This window comes from Homo sapiens, chromosome 9, assembly GCF_000001405.40.
Source record: "Homo sapiens chromosome 9, GRCh38.p14 Primary Assembly".
NCBI classification, from domain to species: Eukaryota; Metazoa; Chordata; class Mammalia; order Primates; family Hominidae; genus Homo; species Homo sapiens.
Genome location: NC_000009.12, coordinates 137,821,424 through 137,844,403, shown reverse-complemented (window position 1 = coordinate 137,844,403; position 22,980 = coordinate 137,821,424). Strand labels below are relative to the sequence as shown.

At 53.8% G+C, this 22,980-nt stretch overlaps 1 protein-coding gene and 1 non-coding gene across 28 annotated transcripts in view, besides 20 other annotated features; both read right to left on the bottom strand.

Annotated features, from left to right (window-relative positions):
• Positions 2,003-4,673: a recombination feature, noted in NCBI's record as "recombination_hotspot; locus 3 recombination breakpoint sub-region, resulting in interstitial deletions". NCBI's record gives the evidence for it as "EXISTENCE:DNA microarray evidence [ECO:0005524][PMID:19293338]".
• Positions 2,643-2,655: a nucleotide motif, noted in NCBI's record as "nucleotide motif; similarity to the predicted 13-mer PRDM9 A binding motif (LD hotspot motif), CCNCCNTNNCCNC".
• Positions 2,647-3,448: a meiotic recombination region, noted in NCBI's record as "meiotic double-strand break mapped by DNA meiotic recombinase 1 chromatin immunoprecipitation followed by single-stranded DNA enrichment and sequencing in the germ cells of some male individuals with the PRDM9 A/B genotype". NCBI's record gives the evidence for it as "EXISTENCE:chromatin immunoprecipitation-seq evidence [ECO:0000229][PMID:25395542]".
• Positions 2,668-2,680: a nucleotide motif, noted in NCBI's record as "nucleotide motif; similarity to the predicted 13-mer PRDM9 A binding motif (LD hotspot motif), CCNCCNTNNCCNC".
• Positions 2,693-2,705: a nucleotide motif, noted in NCBI's record as "nucleotide motif; similarity to the predicted 13-mer PRDM9 A binding motif (LD hotspot motif), CCNCCNTNNCCNC".
• Positions 2,710-2,722: a nucleotide motif, noted in NCBI's record as "nucleotide motif; similarity to the predicted 13-mer PRDM9 A binding motif (LD hotspot motif), CCNCCNTNNCCNC".
• Positions 2,787-2,799: a nucleotide motif, noted in NCBI's record as "nucleotide motif; similarity to the predicted 13-mer PRDM9 A binding motif (LD hotspot motif), CCNCCNTNNCCNC".
• Positions 2,820-2,832: a nucleotide motif, noted in NCBI's record as "nucleotide motif; similarity to the predicted 13-mer PRDM9 A binding motif (LD hotspot motif), CCNCCNTNNCCNC".
• Positions 2,845-2,857: a nucleotide motif, noted in NCBI's record as "nucleotide motif; similarity to the predicted 13-mer PRDM9 A binding motif (LD hotspot motif), CCNCCNTNNCCNC".
• Positions 2,870-2,882: a nucleotide motif, noted in NCBI's record as "nucleotide motif; similarity to the predicted 13-mer PRDM9 A binding motif (LD hotspot motif), CCNCCNTNNCCNC".
• Positions 2,895-2,907: a nucleotide motif, noted in NCBI's record as "nucleotide motif; similarity to the predicted 13-mer PRDM9 A binding motif (LD hotspot motif), CCNCCNTNNCCNC".
• Positions 2,912-2,924: a nucleotide motif, noted in NCBI's record as "nucleotide motif; similarity to the predicted 13-mer PRDM9 A binding motif (LD hotspot motif), CCNCCNTNNCCNC".
• Positions 2,964-2,976: a nucleotide motif, noted in NCBI's record as "nucleotide motif; similarity to the predicted 13-mer PRDM9 A binding motif (LD hotspot motif), CCNCCNTNNCCNC".
• Positions 2,997-3,009: a nucleotide motif, noted in NCBI's record as "nucleotide motif; similarity to the predicted 13-mer PRDM9 A binding motif (LD hotspot motif), CCNCCNTNNCCNC".
• Positions 3,014-3,026: a nucleotide motif, noted in NCBI's record as "nucleotide motif; similarity to the predicted 13-mer PRDM9 A binding motif (LD hotspot motif), CCNCCNTNNCCNC".
• Positions 3,091-3,103: a nucleotide motif, noted in NCBI's record as "nucleotide motif; similarity to the predicted 13-mer PRDM9 A binding motif (LD hotspot motif), CCNCCNTNNCCNC".
• Positions 3,143-3,155: a nucleotide motif, noted in NCBI's record as "nucleotide motif; similarity to the predicted 13-mer PRDM9 A binding motif (LD hotspot motif), CCNCCNTNNCCNC".
• Positions 3,195-3,207: a nucleotide motif, noted in NCBI's record as "nucleotide motif; similarity to the predicted 13-mer PRDM9 A binding motif (LD hotspot motif), CCNCCNTNNCCNC".
• Positions 3,228-3,240: a nucleotide motif, noted in NCBI's record as "nucleotide motif; similarity to the predicted 13-mer PRDM9 A binding motif (LD hotspot motif), CCNCCNTNNCCNC".
• Positions 3,253-3,265: a nucleotide motif, noted in NCBI's record as "nucleotide motif; similarity to the predicted 13-mer PRDM9 A binding motif (LD hotspot motif), CCNCCNTNNCCNC".
• MIR602 (microRNA 602) lies at positions 5,888-5,985 on the bottom strand. The gene has a single exon (NR_030333.1). It is a non-coding gene; the product is annotated as a microRNA 602 (primary transcript).
• The window catches only part of EHMT1 (euchromatic histone lysine methyltransferase 1), a 217,123-nt gene continuing 202,419 nt past the window's right edge, over positions 8,277-22,980 (bottom strand). For all 27 annotated transcript variants that reach the window (XM_047423872.1, XM_047423875.1, XM_047423878.1 and 24 more), the window contains 2 exons: positions 9,880-10,055; positions 8,277-9,631 (listed from right to left, as the gene is read on the bottom strand). In XM_047423872.1, the coding sequence (XP_047279828.1) occupies positions 9,451-9,631; positions 9,880-10,055 (357 nt within the window). In that variant the 3' untranslated portion in view covers positions 8,277-9,450. The remainder of the gene's footprint in view (positions 9,632-9,879; positions 10,056-22,980) is intronic.

Genomic DNA, 22,980 nt, shown 5'->3' with positions numbered 1-22,980 from the left:
CCCGTTCATCTGGGGAGAGGGTAGAAGTTAGGATGACATTTAAGGCACTCCAGGTTAAACTGTAGGACAGAGTTAGATGTCGGAATTCCTGTATATATTTAGTGGGGTCTGATGAGAAAGAGCCTAAACGTTGGCTGATTTGGGAAAGGTCTGATAGAGAAAAAGGCGCATGTACCCTGACTATGCCTTCAGCTCCAGCCACCTCTCTAAGAGGAAATTGTTGGGCAGGTGGGGGAGAGCTGGTCGCAGAACGAAACTGTTAACCAGACTGGGTGTGGGAGGGAGGTAATAGAAGGGTTATAGGGTGGAGGAGCAGAGGCTGAAGAAGAGCTGGAGCCTGATTCAGCCTGGCGGGGAGCGACCTGAGGAGGAGCAGTCTGGGAGGAGGTGAGAGGTCAGATGGGTCAGTAGAAAAGGAAGATTCACAAGGCTCAGCGACGCTCGGGGTTGGGACCGAAGGGAAGCCTACGTCGGGCATGAGGTGCGGGTTCATGTCCTGATGTTGACAGCTCGCTGTGGTTACACAGGACCGCCTGTGTGTAGGAAATATTCATGGAAGTATTTGGGGATGATGGGGTACGAAGTCAGGAATTTATTCTCCAGCAGATCAGAGAAAAAAGATTTCTGTATTGTACTTGCAGCTGTTCTGTAAGGTTGAGATTGTTTTGATGTTTTAAAATGTCAACAAATGTTAATAAAGACACGTGCACGTCTATGTTCATTGCAGCACTATTCACAATAGCACGATTCCAAGATGTGGAATCAATCTAAATGCCCACCAGTGGCAGACTGGATGAAAATGTGGTACATACGCACCACGGAATACTATGCAGCCATAAAAAAGAATGAGATCATGTCTTTTGTGGGAACGTGGATGGAGCTGGAGGCTATTATCTTTAGCAAACTAATGCGGGAACAGAAAAACAAATACCGCATGTTCTCAGTTATAAATGGGAACTAAATGATGAGGGCTCATGAACACAAAGAACAAGAGACACTGGGACCTACTTAGGAGTGGAGGGTGGGAGGAGCGAGAGGATCAGGAAAAACAACTAATGGGTACTTGGCTTAGTACCTGGGTGATGAAATAATCTGTGCAACAAACCCCCATGACACGAGTTTCCCTGTTTAACAAACCTGCACGTGTGCCCCTGCACCAAAAAGATTTTTTTTTTTTTTTCGAGACAGAGTCTCACTCTGTCGCTCAGGCTGGAGTGCAGTGGTGCGATCTCGGCTCACTGCAAGCTCCGCCTCCCCAGTTCAAGCCATTCTCCTGCCTCAGCCTCCCGAGTAGCTGGGAATACAGGCGCCCACCACCACGCCTGGCTAATTTTTTTGTATTTTTAGTAGAGACGGGGTTTCACCGTGTTAGCCAGGATGGTCTCGATCTCCTGACCTCGTGATCTGCCCGTCTCAGCCTCCCAAAGTGCTGGGATTACAGGCATGAGCCACTGCGCCTGGCCAAGATTTTTAAAAATAAATAAAATACATGTTGGGTCAAAGAAGCCAGAGGCAATGAAGTGCGCACTCCATGGACCCAATTATAGGAAATTCCAGAACAGAAATGTTAATCTATACTGACAGGAACAGATTGGTGTCTGGGGTTCAGGAGTGGTGGCATGGATGACACAGACGGGGATGGTGGTGTGGAGGATACCGGGGGGATGGTGGCGTGGAGGATATGGAGGGGGACGGTGGCGTGGAGGATATGGGGGGATGGTGGCGTGGAGGATACAGGGGGACGGTGGCGTGGATGATACAGAGGGGGGACGGTGGTGTGGAGGATACGGGGGACGGTGGCGTGGAGGATATGGGGGGATGGTGGCGTGGAGGATACAGGGGGACGGTGGCGTGGATGATACAGAGGGGGGATGGTGGTGTGGAGGATACGGGGGACGGTGGCGTGGAGGATATGGGGGGATGGTGGCGTGGAGGATACAGGGGGGGATGGTGGCATGGAGGATACAGGAGGGACGGTGGCGTGGAGGATACGGAGGGGGGACGGTGGTGTGGAGGATACAGAGGGGCATGGTGGCGTGAAGCATATGGGGGGGATGGTGGCATGGAGGATACTGGGGGGGATGGTGGCATGGAGGATACAGGAGGGACGGTGGCGTGGAGGATACGGAGGGGGACGGTGGCGTGGAGGATACGGGGGGACGGTGGCATGGAGGATACGGGGGGACGGTGGCGTGGAGGATACAGGGGGACGGTGGCGTGGAGGATACAGGAGGGACGGTGGCGTGGAGGATACGGAGGGGGACGGTGGCGTGGAGGATACGGGGGGACGGTGGCATGGAGGATACAGGGGGACGGTGGCATGGAGGATACGGAGGGGGACAGTGGCGTGGAGGATACAGGGGGACGGTGGCATGGAGGATACAGGAGGGACGGTGGCGTGGAGGATACGGAGGGGGACGGTGGCGTGGAGGATACAGGGGGACGGTGGCGTGGAGGATACGGAGGGGGACGGTGGCGTGGAGGATACAGGGGGACGGTGGCGTGGAGGATACAGGGGGACGGTGGCATGGAGGATACGGAGGGGGACGGTGGCATGGAGGATACGGAGGGGGACGGTGGCGTGGAGGATACAGGGGGACGGTGGCGTGGAGGATACGGAGGGACGGTGGCATGGAGGATACGGGGGGACGGTGGCGTGGAGGATACGGGGGGACGGTGGCATGGAGGATACGGGGGGACGGTGGCATGGAGGATACGGAGGGGGACGGTGGCGTGGAGGATACAGGGGGACGGTGGCGTGGAGGATACAGGGGGACGGTGGCGTGGAGGATACGGAGGGACGGTGGCATGGAGGATACGGGGGGACGGTGGCATGGAGGATACGGGGGGACGGTGGCATGGAGGATACGGGGGGACGGTGGCATGGAGGATACGGGGGGACGGTGGCATGGAGGATACGGAGGGGGACGGTGGCGTGGAGGATACAGGGGGACGGTGGCGTGGAGGATACGGAGGGACGGTGGCATGGAGGATACGGGGGGACGGTGGCATGGAGGATACGGAGGGGGACGGTGGCGTGGAGGATACAGGGGGACGGTGGCGTGGAGGATACAGGGGGACGGTGGCATGGAGGATACGGAGGGGGACGGTGGCGTGGAGGATACAGGGGGACGGTGGCATGGAGGATACGGAGGGGGACGGTGGCGTGGAGGATACAGGGGGACGGTGGCGTGGAGGATACGGAGGGACGGTGGCGTGGAGGATACGGGGGGACGGTGGCGTGGACGATACGGGGGGAAGGTGGCGTGGACGATACGGGCGGAAGGTGGCGTGGACGATACGGGGGAAGGTGGCGTGGACGATACGAGGGGGATGATGTCTTCATTGTGGTAGTCGTTATAGGGTTTACACATTTGCCAAACGCATCAAACACTTATGAAAGGTGCCTTCAATAATCCCTAAATGATACCTCGATAAAGTTGACTGAAAGGTTAAAAAAAATCCTATCTGGCTGTTTTGTAGAAATTAACATGCCGATTCTAAAATTTATATAAAGATAGGAAGGACCTAGTGTAGCCAAATAGCCAAAGAGTCATCTTTAGGAATAAGGACACGGCTGGAGGACCAGTGCCACCACAAATCATTATTTTACACTTGGAGATATTGGCCTCAAGGTCAACAACCCACCAGTAGGGAGAAGGCCTGAGATGCAGCCCACAGGTTCACACCGCTGACATTCTGTGACGGAGCCAGTGCCGTTCACGGGGGAAAAGGAAAAGCCTCTTAAGAAATCAACAAATCGGCCGAAGACGGTGGCTCACGCACTTTGGGAGGCCGAGACGGGCGGATCACGAGGTCAGGAGATCGAGACCATCCTGGCTAACACAGTGAAACCCCGTCTCTACTAAAAATACAAAATTTAGCCGGGTGTGGTGGCGGGTGCCTGTAGTCCCAGCTGCTTGGGAGGCTGAGGCAGGAGAATGGCGTGAACCCGGCAGGCGGAGCTTGCAGTGAGCCGAGATTGCACCACTGCACTCCAGCCTGGGAGACAGAGCAAGATTCCGTCTCAAAAAAAAGAAAGAAATCAAGAAATGAGGCTGGAGCAAGTGGGTTTCCTAGGGAAAAAAATCTCTCTTGACCTCTACCTCACTCCACTCACAAAAATGAATTTAAGATGAATCATGCACCTAAACGTAAAATCCAAAACTGTAAAAGCCTTAGAGAGAAACAGGAGAATATATTCCTAAATTCGAGAAGATATTTTCCTGTTTTTCCCTCTAAAGCATTATAGCAAAAATACCTTAGGACAGAGAAAGTACTAATCGAAAAAGCAGGGCCAGGCACGGTGGCTGAAGCCTGTAATCCCAGCACTTTGGGAGGCTGAGGTGGACAAATCGCCTGAGGCCGGGAATTCGAGACCAGCCTGACCAACATGGAGAAACCCTGTGTCTACTAAAAATACAAAATTAGCCGGGCATGGTGGCGCATGCCTGTAATCCCAGCTACTCGGGAGGCTGAGGGAGGAGAATCGCTTGAACCGGGGAGGCAGAGGTTGCAGTGAGCTGAGATTGCACCATTGCACTCCAGCCTGGGCGACAAGAGCAAACTCCGTCTCAAAAAAAAAAAAAAAAAGTAAAAGTAAAAAAGGATAAATTGGACTTCGTCAAATTTGACTAGAAACACTTAGGATTCATGAAGACATGAAGCAACGAGAACTCCCATGTGTGAGTGGCATGGACAGACGATGCTGCCAGCCGCAGAGACACAGGGGGCTCCCCACAGGAATCAGCAAGTCCCTTTCTTAGGAATTCGCCCTCGACTGACAAAAACATGCACACAAGAAGACCTGTACAAGAATGCTGATAGCTGCTTTATTGACAGTAGCCCCCAACTGGAGATAACCCAAGCATGGACGCACAGGAGAACAGATAAATGCAAAAGCCGCTGAGCAGAAGCTAGGCCAAAAAAAGTAACCCACTGCATGGTTCCTGTTATAGAAACTCCTAGAACAGGCGAAACTAATTTACAGTGAAAGAAATCAGATGGGTGATGTGTCTTGTGGGCAGGGCCAGAGAGGGGAGGAAGAGAGAATGTTGGCTGGGGGATGGAAACAGCCTCTCTCCTGATAAGGGGTGGGTCCCATGGCAAAGGCATTTGTCAGAATGCACTGAGCTGCACTCGATCCATGCATTCTGACAAATGCCAATTATGCCTCAACAAAAAGCCTAAAAAATTTATATTGTCATTTCACACCATACACCAAATAAATTCCACCTGGATTCAAGAGCGAAACCTAAAAACAAAGAACTAGGACAAGCACTGGAGCATATTTTTTTTATAATTTGGGGATGCAGAAGGTCTTTCTAAATGTATTACACAATCAGAAGTCACAAGACAGATTTCTGCCACATAACAAATTTAAATTCAGTATAGATATAAAACTACAATATATAAAGAGCTCACAAAAATCAATAAGAAAAATATAGGCAGCACAACAGAATTTTTGCACAAAGGCAATTCACACAGGAGGACAGGCTAGTCTGTAATAAATATAAGAAGAAGAGATGCTCAATTTTATCAACAATGAAACTGCAAAATAACACTGCAGTGAGAGTCACCCTCTGGACAATTAGAAAAGCAGGAAGTGCAACGGGGGGGGGCCTCAGTGAGAGCTGGGGGAGACGTACATCAGTGAAGGCAAAACTGGCTGGCGTCTTCTGTGTGATGTTTTGGTAAGCGATCTCAAAAGGCACCATTCGTGCCCTCTGACCCCTTCCCTAAGAAGGCAATTGCACAAATGGATAAAGATGAGGTACGGGATTCTCCTTCGCAGCGTCATTGCACTTCGCGAAAGAAATATCATACATACGTCACAAAGGTTTCACCTGGTCCAGACGCGCGTTGCGTCCGACGCTCCTGCCAAAGCCAGGGGGGCTCTGCTCTCCCTTGCCTGACAGGAGACGCACTCGGCCCGAGTGAACACAGCGGGCCGCAGCTGTCGCCCGTGTCAGGCGGGGGTGAGAAGGGGGATTTCTGGAGTGTTTCACGTTCCTCTTCCAGGTCTCGTGCGTTGAGTTTTTGGTAATAAGTAGGTGTGACTTTCACAAAAACAAGTGCAACCTCGAGTTACCTGGGTGGCCTCTGCTCACAACCCATCCGTTTCGGTGGCTGCCCTTCTGTGGGGAGGGCCTCAGTCCACCCAGCCTCAAAAGACCCTGAGGGGGTGTGCACAGCTGGGGACCCCAGGGCCCTATTCAGCCCCCTCGGAACGCACTGACCCAGGAAGGCCCCAGCTCACACTCCCAGGACTGACGGAGCCTGGCCGGAGGCTGAGCCCTGTTCCCTGCCCTGGGGGAACTACGTTCCCGAGTCACCATGGGTCAGGGGAGGAGCTAAAAAAGGGGCCCTGGGTCCCTCAAGCCTGCATGTGGGGGGCGGGGGTGCCAGGAGCCAGCAAGCACAAGGACCCACTGTGTGTGGGCACTGCTGCCATCTCCTTGGCCTTCCCGGCTGGGGCCCCCTGGGCTCCACAGTGTCACACCCAAGTCCACTCACTGAGTGCCTCAGCAGGCCGACCCCCACCCAGTGAGCTCAGAGGGGCCTCCCCTCCAGCCCCACAAGCCTGTTTTCTCTCACAGACTACAGCCTGGGCCAGGACAAGGGTGCAGGCTGCTCTCTGCCCAAGTGGGCTAAGAACCTGCTAGGAGCTTTGCCCACGTGAGGGGTTCTGGCTGCTGCAGGACCAGAGGGCCAACCTGCATGGGTTTTCCATTTTTATTTATCCAAAGAGGAGAAAGAGGGAGGGGAGGGGGAGGGGGAGGGGGAGGCCTCCTGCCCTGCCCCGGCCCACCTGGTCCCTGTGAGACTCACCTGCCTGTTCCCCGCACCTGCCGCAGGTCCCCTCAGCCCCCTTCCCAGGCCTGCACTCCCCGGAGCACGTGCAGCTGCTGCCCCACAGCGCAAAGGCCCTGTAAGGTCTCTTCCTCCCAAGCCGAGTCTGGTTTAGGGACAAGGCGGTCACGGCAGAGCTGTCCAGGACCATGTGAGGTGGGCTCTGTGTTGGGTGCTCATTTTAAACGGCTGGAACTTTCTGTGACAGGGCCCAGTTGTGGGGCCACCCTGGTGGGCCTTCGTGACACCCAAAAAGTTTGCTGTTGGCTTAATTCAACCAATACCTGTTTGTACACCCAGCAGCTGACCCAGGGCACGGAGCAGAACAGGTGGACACTCAAGCCACAAAAATTAATTAGAGTCATCTGCCAGCTACGGGCTGTCCCAGGGGAAGGGGTTGTACCAGCTGCTCCTCTGGCAGGGCTGCTCCCCCTGCAGGGCTGGTGGAGCCGGCAGAGCCTGAGGTTCAAGCTCCAGTGGGCCCTCAGTCACCTCCTGCCACTGCCTCTGGGATGAGGTGACCTGCGACCCCTACACCCTCCTGAGCCCGGGCTTGGCGGGAACCCAGCCCACCCCACACAGCCCCTCCTCACGGACGCAGACGTGAAAGGCCGTAGGCTGTCTGGGCTCCTGGAGGAATGCGGCCTCCCCTGTGGCCCTGTGCAGAGGGGTCACAGGTGGGCCATATCCATCCTGGGTCCGCCTGCCCAGTCCTTCATGCAGTTGCGCAATGTCTGGTGACAGGCACTCGTACCTCAGGCTGGACGACCGCGCACCCTGCTGGGGCCGTCTATTCACAAAGTGCAGGGCAGTTATGACTGTGCTGGAAAAGCATCAAAAACACCTGCGTGAATTCTGTGTATTAAACCGTGGAGTGTCTGAGCGTGTTACTGAGGTTACACGAAAAGCCCTCCTGTGGTGAGTGAGGCCAGTCAGCATGGAGAACATAGCAGGCTGGAGGCTTTGGGTCTAGGGGTCCCCGTAGAGGAGTGGGGGTCATGGCTGGCAGGAAGTAGGACGGGCTCTGGCTCTCCCTTGTCCGGCCTCGCTGTTCAAGTGCAGCTCTGCCTCTGGTTGTGGGACTCACCTGATGTGCCCTGTCGGCTTCCAGAATGACGCCCAGAGCTGGGCACCTGGCGCTAGACACAGACATGCAAACACACACACACACACACACACACCAGTGTGCCCGCATTCGCACCACGTGCACGATGCATTCGTGGACACACACAGACTCATTCGACACGTGCGCAAATGCACAGGCTCCCCTAACCTCTGCCTGGAACGTCCCCTCTTCGGGGACAGATCTGGGGTGAAAAGGAAGCTGTACTTCCTTGGACAGGGGACAGAGAGCTGGGCCGGGTCCAGGGGGACCTGCAAGTTCTGCAGAGACCCTGAAATATGGTGTCATAATAAAAACCCCATTTAAAGTACTTCTTTTTTTTTATTGATTTCATTGGAAACAGAACAAGAAATGGTCAGAGCCAAAAGACTGCTCTTAAAACTGTCAAAAACATTTTAACAGAAAAAAATAAACATGACTGCATTATGAATGTTTTTAGAAGAGTTGCACAAAAAAAACCCCACTGTTACTGCACTAATTACAGTCTTTAAAAAGGTATATGCCAAAAAAAAGTATATGACCTGCCAGGCCACCACACAAAAGGTGATGGCAAATTTATTCACGCTACAAGACTAACATCTTTAAAAAAGTTTTTCCTGCATTTTATTCTAAAATCACTTTGTTCTCTTTATACAGTTGATAGTTTATTTCACGTGGTGAGTAGAAACCACACCAGAATCAGCACCGTTGTCTGTGTTTTGTTTTTTATTTTGTGTTTGTCCTAATGTTCAGTAATGGTAGAAAATAAATCAGTTTATTCATCATAGCATGTGGCTTAAAAAATCAACAGAAGGTGCCAGCGTCAACGGAACCGGCGGGGGCTGCACCCACCAAGCCACTTCCTCGAAAAGAAACGTCAGTTAGAGGTTTGATATATAGGACTAGATATAGGATTCCTTTAAAAAGCAAACCCACATTTTCTCCAAAGTTAGTGGTGGGGTCGGTCTCCTGACCTCTCCGAGCCTGACAGGAGACTGTGCCCTCCGTGCGGCCCCTGGGACTCGGCCCCAGCCACGCAGGCCGTGGGCAGGGCGAACGGAGCAGCTCGCGCTAACGGTGGCTTCGGCGGCGCCACACAGAAGAGTCTGGGCCGGACAGGAGAACAGAGCAACCCCGTGGTGCAGCGGGGACCTCGGAGGTCAGAGGAAGAAACGAGAAACTTCGCAACGACAAATCAGCATCAGAAACTCAGAAGGTGATGCCAGTGCGGACTCCCAGCGTCTCTGGCGCGCGGACCAAAGTGTGCGCTCCAGCCTGGGCACTGGGCCCGCGGTGAGGCCGCAGGTCTGGGAAGGTGGCTGGGAGGCATCCACACCCGCCCGCAGGGGCTGCAGCCTCACCTCCGACCCCTCCAGGAAGCCGGCGGCGCAGCCCCGAAGGACCCTTTCGGTTGCGTGCGGAATCTCTCCTCCTCGTCCTCTAATCGGCGACGCGGCGGTCCCTGGCTCCCGAGCGCCCCGCTGGCCGGCGGCGTCTCATAGGGGGTCGGCGGCAGCCGCGGAGCTGGTGTCGGGCAAGCCGTCCTCCTGGGCCTCCTGGGCCGCGCTGGCCTGACGCTGGGCCAGGGCCGCGCTCGAGTGCCGGCACTTGGGGGAGCCGCAGCGGCAGCTGAAGAGCTTGCCTTTGATGTCCCAGAAGCGCTCTCCATAGTCAAACCTGGGGAGGGAACAGAACCAAGGCTCCAAGTCGAATCCCACCGGCACCTCCCACAAGCCAGATAAATTAAGGCAAGGCCAAAGCTTCCTCACCCCGATCTGCCGTGCCGCATCCCAGGTCGCAGTTTTTAGAACTACAGGAAAACCACTAGCATAAACCCGAGACAAGCCCAGGAAAGCAATGCGAGCCCCGTTCCTAAAACCGTCCCGCCGGCAGCGGAGATGGCCAGGGGCCGGGGCGGTGCGTACCCGAGCTGCTCGCCGGCCTCGATCAGGCGGGTGCTGAAGAAGGCGATCCGGGGGAACCGCAGGTCCTGGTGGGCCATGAACACGCGCACGGGCACCAGGTTGGGCTCGCAGTGGTGGTTGATGAACCGGCTGACGTTCCCGTAGAACCGCGCGTCGATGCAGTAAACCTCCCCGTCCTGCAGGGCGAGAAGCCGGCACGGGCTGCAGTTAGCAAGGCCCCGACACGCCGGCCTCGCCGGGTACGGCCATGCATGGCAGTCCCGGAGCCTGCAGTTGGGCGCAGGCCCGCCATGCAGGAGGGGCCTTCTCCAGTGACCTGTGGCGGCGGTGCGGAGCCTCCGCCAGCCTTCTCCTCGCTGTGTGGCCACCCACCCCGCACCCTGCCGTCCTCGCTGGGCCTCCGTCTGTGGTGGGGTGGGGGTGGTGCGGGCCGTTCCCTTGACGGCGTCCCCATGGGGCTTCCAGCGCGGTGGAATGTGGACAGCGCCATCCCACCCGAGGACCCATGGGGCTGTCTGGCACCAATAGGAGAAAGGAGGCCGGGGCTGCAAGAGCCCCGTGAGGCAGTGGCAGGGGCTGAGGGGGTCGGGAGGGATGGAGCTGGCATCCGGGACACACTGTCTTGGTGACGAGGAGGCGGAGCAGTCCCCAGAGGGTCTGGGAAGACTCAGTGGCGAATGGCACCAGGGAGGACCGTCAGGCGGAGGCTGCCCACAGAAAACGACTTCTGCTGCAGCCCTTCCGGGTGCTGATGTGACTGTGGAACACGAGGCCGAAGAGACTGAGGCGTCCTCCTCACCCTGGTGCCTTGGAGAGGAGCCCAGGATTCCGGGTGGCCACATGGCCCTGGGCCCTGGCCCCTGGCACTGGCCTGTGATGATGGATTCTGAATTGACCATAGAGAGGGGGACGAGGTGGGTGGGCCTGACCTAACCACGCAACCCCTTTAAAAGCAATTCTCTCTGGAGACCCAGGGCTTGGAGCTGCTGGGGCCTGGATGGAGGAGCTGCGTGGGAGTAAGGTAGGTGGTCCCGGCCGGCAGCTAGCAAGGAACCTAGACGCTGCCCACGCAACCACAGGGACCTGGGCTCAGCAGCACCCTGCCTGTGCAGCCCGAGGCCCGGCACGCCCAACCCCTGCTGCGCACACTGGGCCGAGTGGGTGGCCGCCATGGCGAGCTGCGGGTGGGTGGCGTGGTTTGTTACCCAGCGACGGGAAGAGGCAACACCACAGACGACAGCCAGGCAGACGGGGAAGGAGGCACCTGGGGCTTTCCAGGACCGAGTTCCGAGAGGGCGGGGCCTGCCGGCAGAGACACCTGGTCCACAACCTGCCCCAGCATGAACATTAACCAGAGAGCCAGGGACGCTCAGAGGTCAAGAGGTTAAAACCCAAACCAACAAGCGGGTAAAGGCGTGGACGAGAGCAGCTCTCCGTCAACCTTCACGGCGCGGGCAGTGACAAGACAGTAAACCAGGCGAGCACGGCCGCAGGACAGGACCAGCCACAGCCCCCAAAGCCAAAGGCGCGGGAAGCTGCCTCCTGGTTTACCCCAAAGAAACAGAGTTCAGAGTGGCTCACCTGGCGTGGACTTTGGCCTCTGCTTCGGGGTCTGATGGACTAAGAATCTATAGGCGACCCCTCCTCGTGCAGAATGCAATTCCGGAACTAGCAACGGCGCACACACGAAGGTCTTGATAAGCAGCAAAATGGAGAGTGAGGGGCTTCCGACTGGAGGGGCCAGGCCCAGCTTTCACCAGGGGCAGCTCGTCTGGCAGAGCACACAGCGCTGCTCCGAGCTTCTAAGATGGGTGGGGTGTCAAAGTCTGTGACACAAATCTCTGCCCGACCAGAACCAGATAAAGACAACAGTCCAGAGAAGGACGGCTGGAGTAAGGCAGATAGGCAACGTGGGAGGCGGGGCCTGCGGAGAGAGCCCAGCCAATCCTAGGACTGGAGAGAAGGCACAGGGGCCACATGGGTGGGTGGGGGGAGGGCCTGCGGAGGGAGCCCAGCCAATCCTAGGACTGGAGCGAGGTGCAGAGGCCGCGTGGGAGGCGGGGCCTGAGGGAGACCAGCCAATCCTAGGATGGGAGCAAAGTGCAGTGGCCACGTGGGAGGCGGGGCCTGTGGAGGGAGCCCAGCCAATTCTAGGACGGGAGCGAGGTGCAGAGGCCACGTGGAAGGCGGGGCCTGTGGAGGGAGCCCAGCCAATTCTAGGACGGGAGCGAGGTGCAGAGGCCACGTGGGAAGCGGGGCCTGAGGAGGGAGCCCAGCCAATCCTAGGACTGGAATGAAGGCACACAGGCCATGTAGGAGGTGGGGCCTGTGGAGGGAGCCTGGCCAATCCTAGGACTGGAGGGAAGGCACAGGGGCCACGTGGGGTTGGGGGGTTCTGCGGAGGGAGCCCAGCCAATCCTAGGACTGGGGCGAAGTGCAGCGGCCACGTAGGAGGCGGAGCCTGTGGAGGGAGCCCAGCCAATCCTAGGACTGGGGCGAAGTGCAGCGGCCACGTAGGAGGCGGAGCCTGTGGAGGGAGCCCAGCCAATCCTAGGACTGGGGCGAAGTGCAGCAGCCACGTAGGAGGCGGAGCCTGTGGAGGGAGCCCAGCCAATCCTAGGACTGAGGCGAAAGCACAGGGACCACTAGAGAGGCCGGGCCTGCAGAAGGGGCCCAGCCAATCGCACTAGGGAAACAAGGCCCACGCAGAAGAGAAACCAGAGTCCTCCCCACATGTTAACAGGAACAACTCAAGGGACCTGACGCTTGAAACACTGAGGAAACGAACACGTCCGAAAGAACACTCAACTGAGTCCAGCCTTGAGATGAACCAGACACTGGGCCAACAGACACGTATTTTCAAGGCAGCTCCTAAGGCTGTCCTCAATGAAGAACAAAGAAAGATTTCAAGGCATGAAAATATCAGAGAAATGAGAAGTCTCAGCGGAGAAACAGAAAAAGAATCCAACGGAAATTCTACATCGAAATTCACTGGCTGCTGAAGCCATCACTGGGTGGATGAACAGAATCTCAGAGATTTGCCTAATGACAGGTAAAGTCAAACAAATTGACTTGTACGCAACATTATTTGAGATAAATAGCAAGGGCTGAAATCAACCTGAATGCCCCAAAAAGAAGGAGAAAGATTTCCATGTACGGACAATATGATGACTCTCCCCAAATCCTGTCGGGAGAAAGGTAAGGGCTCGTGCACTATCTACACTCTACCACTTTTTGTGTAAGAAAAGAGAAGGAATAAGAAATCTACTTGAGTATTTTTTCTCGATTTCTGCTGATGGTTACTGCAGGTGCTACAGTTGGAATGTGTGTGCCCCCCGACCAGACTCACAGGCTGAGACCCCAAGGTTAGGGTGAGGCTTTGGGAAAGCGATTAGGTCATGGGAGTGGAGGGAATTGTGCCCTCATAAAAGGGACCCCAGAGAACTGCTGCACCCCCTCCACCACGTGGGGACACAGTGAGAAGGCACTGGCTACGAACCAGGAAACCCTCCCCAGACACCAGATCTACTAACACCTTCATCTTGGGACTTCCAGCCCCCAGAGCAGTGAGAAATACATTCCTGTTATTTGTAAGCCTCACGGTTTACAGTGTTTTGCTATCACAGCTCGAATGGACTAAGACAGCAGGAAACAGAATACAGAGAACATGGAGAGAAGCAAGGCTTTTCTGGGTGTGAACTTCCCAAGCATGCAAAAATTTTACACAATCAAAAAACAAAAAATTAAATTGTAACATTTAAAATGAACTAAAATTAATGTAACTGCCTATCAAGCCAGTGACACAATCACACAAGCAACATTTCTGGTGCCGCGAAGCACAAGACTGGGCCCAGCTTCCATGGGACATGTTCTAAGGAGTGAGACGCTGCAAAGAAGCGCAGATGCCATCCGGGAGCTGGACTGGTGCTTACTGTTATCGGTAATATCTGGAGTGCTATTTTGAAACTAAAGATTTTAGAAACCAAAATTTTTATTGTAAGAGATGCAAATATAAAATCAAAGAAGTTGGATAAAAACTCTACACTGTTAAATTTGAATTGGAAATATTAACATGAACACATTTTTAAAAATCTATTTACTTCATAACTCTGTCCTCTGAAAAGTGAGTCAAGAGCCCATGGCACCCTGACAGCAGTGGGCACCCCAGAGTCTCATTTCAGTGTCTAAAAATCTTTCTCTTCCAAAAGCACAAGGACATCCTGGAGAAATGGCTGATTCCAAGTGTGGGGCAAGGAACATAAGGGAGGCCTGGGTGTCACATGGTACCGAAGAGCAGTGTCACCAAAGGAGACGGGCTCGCCTGCATGGGCTCCCCATGGCCAAAGATGGGGCAGTTTGACCATTAAATAAGAATGGCTATAACTGATCAAACACACATGTAAAAATGTAAACAAAAAAAAAAAGTAAAAATCCATGAGCCCACATTAACACTCAAAACAGAGGAAAGAAAAAAAAGACCAAAATTTCTTTGCTGCTACTTCCTCCCTCTGAAACTTGATAACTAAATGGTAAGAATAAAGCATTGATCTTGCCTTTCTCTGAGGAGTAACCACAAAGCCCAGGTTTAAGGTTTATTTATTTAAACAGAAGAATGTCTGTTAATAAACAGGGAAGGCATGGATGCTCGGGGTGGCCAGTCGAGGTGGCCATAAAGCTCCCTATGGGACACAGCAGCCCCGGTGTGAGTGTCGCCAAACCTCAGCCCTTCCTCCCAGCTGGCCGCAAACACGGGATAAGAGAACAAGTGAGGTGACACCACGGGGGGCACACAGAAATGTGGACCATGGGATTTCTCAGGCCGTTGGCCAGTCTCCCCCATAGGCCACTGTGTGGGCTGCTGGTAGGAAGAAACTTCTGGGATGTGCCAAGTATCATACAAGGGACAGCCCCAGCTGACTCCAGAGGGGCGAACCAGGAAAAGACATCGGGGAAACTAGGAGTCTGTAGATGAACCTCACGTGACGGCAATCTCAATCTCGTCAGGCAGCACTATTCACAGGCACACTCTGACGTCACTGGGGGTAAAATGTCACATTTGTAACTAACTTTACACTGTATCAGCAAAAAAGGATGAAACAAATAAAGCAAGATACTAACAACCATCAAGTCCAAGTGGGGGAATAGGAGTCTCCACTCTCCTGATTCTCTCTGCTTTCTGGTATGTCTGAAAATTTTCACAATGTGTGGTCAAAAAGGAATTGCAAAGGCAAGAAAAAGGAATCTCTGAAGGAAGTGGCAGAGAAGTAAAACATTTTTCTTCTATTTTTTAACTAAGTAAGAGACCTGAATGCCTTTAAAATTAGGGAAGAGGCATCAGAGAAGAACCTGTGTGGAGAAAGTGCTGCCGCAGGTGAGGAGGTGCAGGTGGCAGACAGGTGGTGGCAGTGGGCGCACGGCACGAGCTCCAGTGGCAACGTCTGTGAGACCAGGGCGGGGGCCTCCCCGTGGTGCCTGGATGCCCCACCCGGGCTCTGTACAGACACCCGGGCCTGGTGCTTGGAGTGGACCTCACTACAGGTGCTCACTTCACTTCGCCAGAGGCAAAAGAGGCCATCTGGGAGGGCCAGGCCCATCTGGGCTCTTCCCAGGATTCCTAGCAGGCTCCACAAGCCCCCACGCAGCAAGCAGGAGGGGAGGCACAGAGGCGGCAGCTCTCCAAGGTGCTGAACTGGCACTGCTCAGAGCCACCAAGGGCTCATTGCAGACATGAGGCCCCAGGGCTGGGGACTTGCTATTCCTGGTCTTCTCATTTTTGTGGTTTTTCTGTCCAGAACCACCGGCCTTAGAGATGCTCTAGTGCAGTGCGTTAAAAATAACCCTCCTCCCACCCTGAGAACCTTCCAGCTCTGCACCAAGCGTCACTTGGGCCGTGAGTGTGGGATCTGTGGCTGCCCGGGAGACGTGGTACCTCCCCCACCCCGCACCCCCGCAGGAGCACACTTTGTGGCTTCTCAGGACGAGCCCCTTTCTCAGTCTGACCCCAGGAGCCTCCGCGTGACCCTAGAGGTCATGGGGTCTCGAGACCCTGTGCTCTGCTTGGCCTCACTGCCCAGACCAGAGGGGCCTAGAGTCAGGATGTGGCCTTGGCAATGGTCATGCCTGATGACCCAGCCCAGACTCCCTGAGGCCACACACACATGTGGCAGCCTGGCATGTGCTGCCCCCCACCCCCCACCCCAGGGCATGTCCAGGGCATCTTTGGGGACAGGGTGTGGGTTCCATGCACCCTGAAGAATGCAGAGGGGCTCCTCCTGGGCACACCCCTCTGACCCCTGCTGATGCCCCTTGTCACCGGGACTTCCCTGATGCCCGCCAGCACCCCCCTGGGGCCTGTGGATGGTCACAGCACAGGCTGTAGCCCCAAGAGACAAAGGGGCCGCCCCCATGGGCCATCAACCTTGCCCATGGCCTCCCACTGCGTGCCGTTCGTCCACGTCCCTCCCACGATGGCAGCCGGGCCGACCACCCCGTCGCACCCTGTCGGCTGGCACAAGGAGCCCCTTCACACAGGGGCACGGCCTCCCCTAGCTGCTCCTACGGTTCAGAGGCTTCAGATCCCAGAACCCTCAAAGGAACGGACACCGCTGAGGGCTTTAAATGTACCCTCCTGTGCTGCTCTTCCAAGGTTTCTCTGATGAAGAACCTTCCACCTAGGTTTCGGGCAAGCACACCATGGAGAGGGCTCCCTGGGGCGCCAAGTTGATGGGAGATTTGAACAAAGGCCTAAAGAAGGTAAGGACCGGGAGGGCGGGTGGGCAGGATCCCAGAGGGCATGTTCAACAGCTCCAGAACAGCATGAGGGAGTGCGAGCAATTGTGACAGCAGTGGAGGGGGGCAGTCAGTGGGGAATGGGCTGTGCAAGGTTTGAGCCAAAAGCAGAGGGCTTGGGGTCCCTGTAGCCCCAGGCTGAGAACAGATGGCAACACCAGGGCTGGGGCAGACCCAGGGGTGGGTGCCCACTGCAATGGTCCAGGAAATACTTTGAAGGCAGAATCAGAAAGCTTCCTGGCACCCAGAGATTTTGGCGCTCAGGTGGACAGGGGTCTGGGGTCTGGGGTCCGGGCGTGGGTCAGAGCTGTAGCAGACACCTAGGAGGCTTTGGTGTGTTCGTGGCTCTCCACATCCCCAAAATGAACAAGAACCGTACCTGGGCCTGTGTGTCCATGGCTGAGAAGTGAGAGGGTGCAGGGAGGAGCAGGGCTAGATGCTGCTGCCTCGGGTGGGTGGGGACCAGAGCCTGCCCTGGACTTAGGGACACTCATGGGAGGCGAGGCCTGGCTGCATCTGGTTGCAGACAGACTGGAAGGCAAGGAATCAGGCGAGTGTGGCAGCTCTGGGGCATCAAGGAGTGTGGAGAGTGCTGACAGGATGTCCCTGAGGAGGTGAGGGCAGGCGTGGCTCCAGACAGGAGAAGGAAGCACAGAAAGTCCATGCCATGGAACAGGTGTGAAGGCACAGCACAGACGTGTGGGGGAGGAGGCGGGGACCCCCCGGCCAACATGACAAGCGAGTCAAGGAACTGAGAGCCTCCAGCAGCGATCTGATGGAGCAGTATTGTGCCTGTTGAATGTGACAACTTAAAAGCAGCCTGGTAAGTTGCAGTCCTTATTTTACAAAAGGATTGGCCCACAGTGAACTGGGAATATGGAAATGGCCCTTCCACACAGACAGTTTGGGAGGTGCGGCCCTAGGTGAGCAGGAGGAACCTGGCCAGTGAAGGCCACAGCCGCATCAGCAGGGAGACAGGCCTGTGTGCACAATGCTGCCATTAGGAGGTGGTTTCGAAGCCCCAGCAAAGCTCTCCCCTCTCCTCTGGGCTGCGGCTCCACCCGCCTGTCTTGGTCTCACTGGTTATCACGCAGTGAGAAGGCAGGGTCCCTCCATGAGCCAGGCGGTGGGGTCCTCCTGAGAACCAAACCAGTAGGTGCCTTGACCTTGGACTTCTGGCCTCCAGCACTGTGAGAAACCAGTCTGTTGTGCAGTCTATGGTGTTCTGTTACAGCAGCCTCAACGGACTGAGACAGGCCCCAGGAACCAGGGCCACCTGGAGGCTAAAGTCAGCTGGGGTGACAGAGGCCACGGCCTGCAGCTTAGCTCTGAGGCCTCCTGGTGCCTGGAAGTGGACCGGGGTGACCCAGTGCATCTTCTTCAAGCAGGTTTGAAAATACAATGTCTGGCACTCAAACAAAACTAACCAGAAACATGAGGAGACAGGGAAAGAAGAAGATAAGCAGCAAAACAGATGCTAGAAACAGACCTACAGAGATGCCAGATGCTGGAAGGAGAGACCAGGGCAGGAGATATGGCAGCAAGGAGACGGCACAGAAACAGGAACACACCGCCCCACCCACCCACCCCCTATGGACCCAGACTGACCACACAACACAGCACTGACGCCACATGGTTAAAATACACATAAATTATTTCCAGTAACAATAGCATATAAATCAGATATTCACATTAACAGAACAAGGAGAAAAATCATAGGCTTATTTCAATAGATTTTTTTAAATGTTCAACAAAATTCAACAACAATTCATGAAACTCTTTGGGACAGAAAAGAGAACTTTGTTATTCTGATAAAAGCATCCCGACGCCTGCACAACAGCATCACGGGAAACAGTCCTGAAAGGCCACGCCTCCTCCCTGACACTGGGCAGCCCCGCCGGTGTAGACGACAAGAATGAGAAGTGAAACCAAGGGGACCGGGGCAGCCTGCGTGGTGATGACACGGGCACACACACACAAAACAATGGACCCACACATATCATTACACTTAATAGGTGACTTTAGGCCACAGGTTAAAGAGTTAATTTTAAAAACCTACTCTATTTCTATCCATCAAGCAACAAGAGGAAAAATATGCCTCCTTCAAATACAAGAGCATCAGGGTTTCTGAGATGCTAAGGGCTCCTGCTTCTGACTGTGATGGGTCAGCTGGTGCTGCACTTGCCCTCCCACCCAAGACTGATGGCCCAGCCAAATCCACAGGACACAAACAGAGGTGCCCAGGGTGGCACCTCTGGGCAGTTTCTCATACAGTTGAAGGTCACTCACACATGACCCAGCCAGGAAATGGTAAAGGCCAGATGGCATGTGATTCCACTTACATGATATTGTGGAAAAGGCAGGATTGCAGGAAGCAAGTCAGCGTGGCCGTGGCTCGGAGTGGGGAAGGCAGGTGCCCGTGAGGAGAGGGAGTCGGCCCACACACATGTAGAATTCTAAGGCAGCCCCAAGAGTCTCCCTTGTATCAACCCATCCCCTTGAGCGTGACTTGCTTCTGGCCCACAGAATGTGAGGAAGGCAGCGTGGCAAAGCCCCGACATTCTCCTGCTGGCCTTCAAGAAGAGAGCTGCCTCTAGGAGCTCAGAGCACCCCCGGTTGCCAGCCAGCAAGGAAGCAGAGGCCTCATCCTGCAGCCAAGGAAGTGAATTCTGACAACCCAGGGAGCATTTACAAAAGGCCTGAAGCTAACATTAGACAGGGTAAGGACACCTCTTCCCCCAGTGCCGGGAAGAGAACAAGCATTATGCCCGACCTTCCAGAAAACAAAGCTGCACGGCTCAGAACGCGAGAAGAAAAACTGTCTTTACTCACACATGACGTGACCACATGTGCAGACAAGCCTAATAGTCCAAAAAGTGAGTAGAATTCATACATTTAACAAGGTCAATGCACAAAAAAATCAAGTATTTCCGCATTATTTCCAACAAACAACTGGAAGATGAAATTTAAAAACAATACTGTTTATAATACATGAAAAGTATGATGTGCTTAGGAATACATTTAACAAAACACAGTGTAAGATCTACATACTAAAAGCTACAAGGCTCTGCTGAGAGAAACTCAATATCAAACTCAAAGACAGCTGGGCCACCTACAGACACAGGGTCAGAAGGCTCAATGCGATAATGGCCAGCAGATTTAGTGCAGTCTCAGCAAAAATTCCAGCAGCCTTGGCCTGTACTGACGCCCGGGCTCTCAATTGTCTATGGAAATGCAAAGGACATGGAGGAGCAAAACAGTTTTGAAAAAAAAACCGAGTATGAGGAGTATGAGGACCTAACACTACCTGGCTCCAAGCTTTACTATCAGTCAAGAGAATGTGTCATTGTTTGAGGATCAGCAAATAGATCAAAGGAACAAAACATGGTCCAGACGTAGATCTCCATCAGCTGGTATAAGCAGAACTAGTGGTGCTGGATTAACTGTCCACATGGACACAAGTGAACCTCAATCCTTACTTCAAACCCACATCTTTGAGAGACAGGCCAGGCTGGAGTGCAGTGGCTCGATCACGGCTCACTGCAGCTTCAAACTCCGTCTCGGCCTCCAGAAGTGCTGGGATTACAGGAGCGTGCCAGTGTGTCTGGCCTTAACTTGCATTTTTACATAAGACTTCTAAAAAAAAAGGAGAAAATCTTCACAATCCTGGGATAGACATGGAATTCTTAGGACATGGAAAGTAATAGAATTTCAAAATTCTGCTTCCTGAAAGACACTGTTAAGAAAGTGAGGAGGCAAGGCACAGACTAAGAAAATATTCACATCACACACATATTTATATGTACATCAGAGTCAGAAGATGGAAAGAGCTCCTACAACTCAAGAAGACAAGCAGCCAATTAAAAAACAGGCAAATTGGCCAGGCACAGTGGCTCACGCCTGTAATCCCAGCACTCTGGGAGGCTGAGGCGGGTGGGTCACCTGCAGTCAGGAGTTCGAGACCAGCCTGGCCAACATGGCGAAACCTCGTCTCTACTAAAAATATAAAAATTAGCCAGGCGTTGGGCCGGGCGTGGTGGCTCACGCCTGTAATCCCAGCACTTTGAGAGGCCGAGGCGGGCGGATCACGAGGTCAGGAGATCGAGACTATCCTGGCTAACACGGCGAAACCCCGTCTCTACTAAAAATACAAAAAATTAGCTGGGCGTGGTGGCGGGCACCTGTAGTCCCAGCTACTTGGGAGGCTGAGGCAGGAGAATGGCGTGAATCCGGGAGGCGGAGCTTGCAGTGAGCCGAGATTGTGTCACTGCACTCCAGCCTGGGTGACAGAGCCAGACTCCGTTTCAAAAAAAAAAAAAATTACCCAGGCGTTGGCCGGGTGCGGTGCGGTGGCTCACGCCTGTAATCCCAGCACTTTGGGAGGCCGAGATGGGCAGATCACAAGGTCAGGAGATCGAGACCATCCTGGCTAACACGGTGAAACCCTGTCTCTACTAAAAATACAAAAAATTAGCTGGGCGTGGTGGTGGGCGCCTGTAGTCCCAGCTACTCAGGAGGCTGAGGCTGGAGAATGGGGTGAACCCAGGAGACGGAGCTTGCAGTGAGCCGAGACTGCGTCACTGCACTCCAGCCTGGGCGACAGAGTGAGACTCCGTCTCAAAAAAAAAAAAAAAACAATTAGCCAGGCATGGTGGCCGGCGCCTGTAGTCCCAGCTACTCAGGAGGCTGAAGCAGGAGACTCGCTTGAACCCAGGAGGCAGACGTTGCAGTGAGCCGAGATTGTGCCACTGCATTCCAGCCTGGGCGACAAGAGCGAAACTCCATCTCAATAAACAAACAAACAACAACAACAACAAAAAACAGGCTTTTTTTTTTTTTTCGAGATGAAGTTTTGCTCTTGTTGCCCAGGCCTACAGTGCAATGGCATGATCTTGGCTCACTGCAACCTCCACCTCCCAAGTTCAAGCAAGTCTCCTGCCTCAGCCTCCCGAGTAACTGGGATTACAGGCATGCGCCACCACACCCGGCTAATTTTTGTATTTTTAGTAGAGACGGGGTTTCACCATGTTGGTCAGGCTGGTCTCGAACTACTGACCTCGTGATCCGCCCGCCTCGGCCTTCCAAAGTGCTGGGATTACAGGCGTGAGCCACTGCGCCCGGCCCAAACTGGCAAATTTTAAAAATTACTTCACAAAAGAAGTAAAAGGATGGCAACACACATATGAAAAGAGGCTCTTCATCAAGCATCAGGACAGCAAATCTAAGTCACAGTGTTTGGAGCTCTCACTCACTGAGGTGGGAACGGAAGTGCTATAACCACTTTGGAAAACTAGCGGTTTCTTTTAAAGTTAAAGGTACCCCATCATATGAGCCAGTAACTCCACCCCCATTTACTCGAGAAATAAAAATTCATGTCCATTAAAAACAAGTCTATGGGAGTCACAGCAGGTTTCCTCGTGATGGCAGAACTGGAAAGGACGGAGGCCCACCCACAGGCAAGCAGGCATAAACCAGCAGGGAGGCCAGGTGGGTCACCGTCCAACAACAGAAAGGAACAAACCACTGACACGTGTAGCCACGTGGGCAAATCACAAAACATGCAAAGCCGGACACAGGATTCCGTTTATAGAAAATGTGAATGCAGGTGGAACTCATCCACCAGGATGGGCAGGGGAGAAGGAGGGACTAAGGGCTCACAGGGGATTTGGGGGTGACAGAAATGCTCCATATCTTGACTGTGGCATTGATTACACTGGGATGTACATTTGTAAAAACTAAAACCATATACTTGAAAGTAGTTTGTTTTACTGTATTTAAATTAATTGCAATAAAGTTGATCCAAGAGAAAAAAATTTCAAAAACCTATTTGATTTAAAAAAATCCAACAAAACATATACAAGACCACACCACAGAAAACCATAAAATATTACTGGGGGTAATTAAGAAAGATCTAACAAATGAAGAGATATACCATGTTCATGAACTAGTAAACAAGGTAGTAAATGCCTCATTTTTCCCTAACCTGACTGACAGGTCTAATACAATCCCAATCAAATCCCTACAGGAGCTTCTGTAGAACTTGTTAAGCTGACTTCAGAACTTACATGAAGACCAAAAAGAACAAGACACAAACTCTATGGTGAAGCTGGGCACAGTGGCTCACTCCTGCAATCCCAGTGCTTTGGGAAGCCAAGGTGGGAGGATTGCCTGAGGCTAGGAATTTGAGACGAGCCTGGGCAACACAGTGAGATTCCATCTCTATAAAAATAAAATAAAAAAATTAGCCGGGCATTGTAGTGCACACTTGTAGTCCTACCTACTTGGGAGGTCAAGGCAGGAAGATCACTTAAG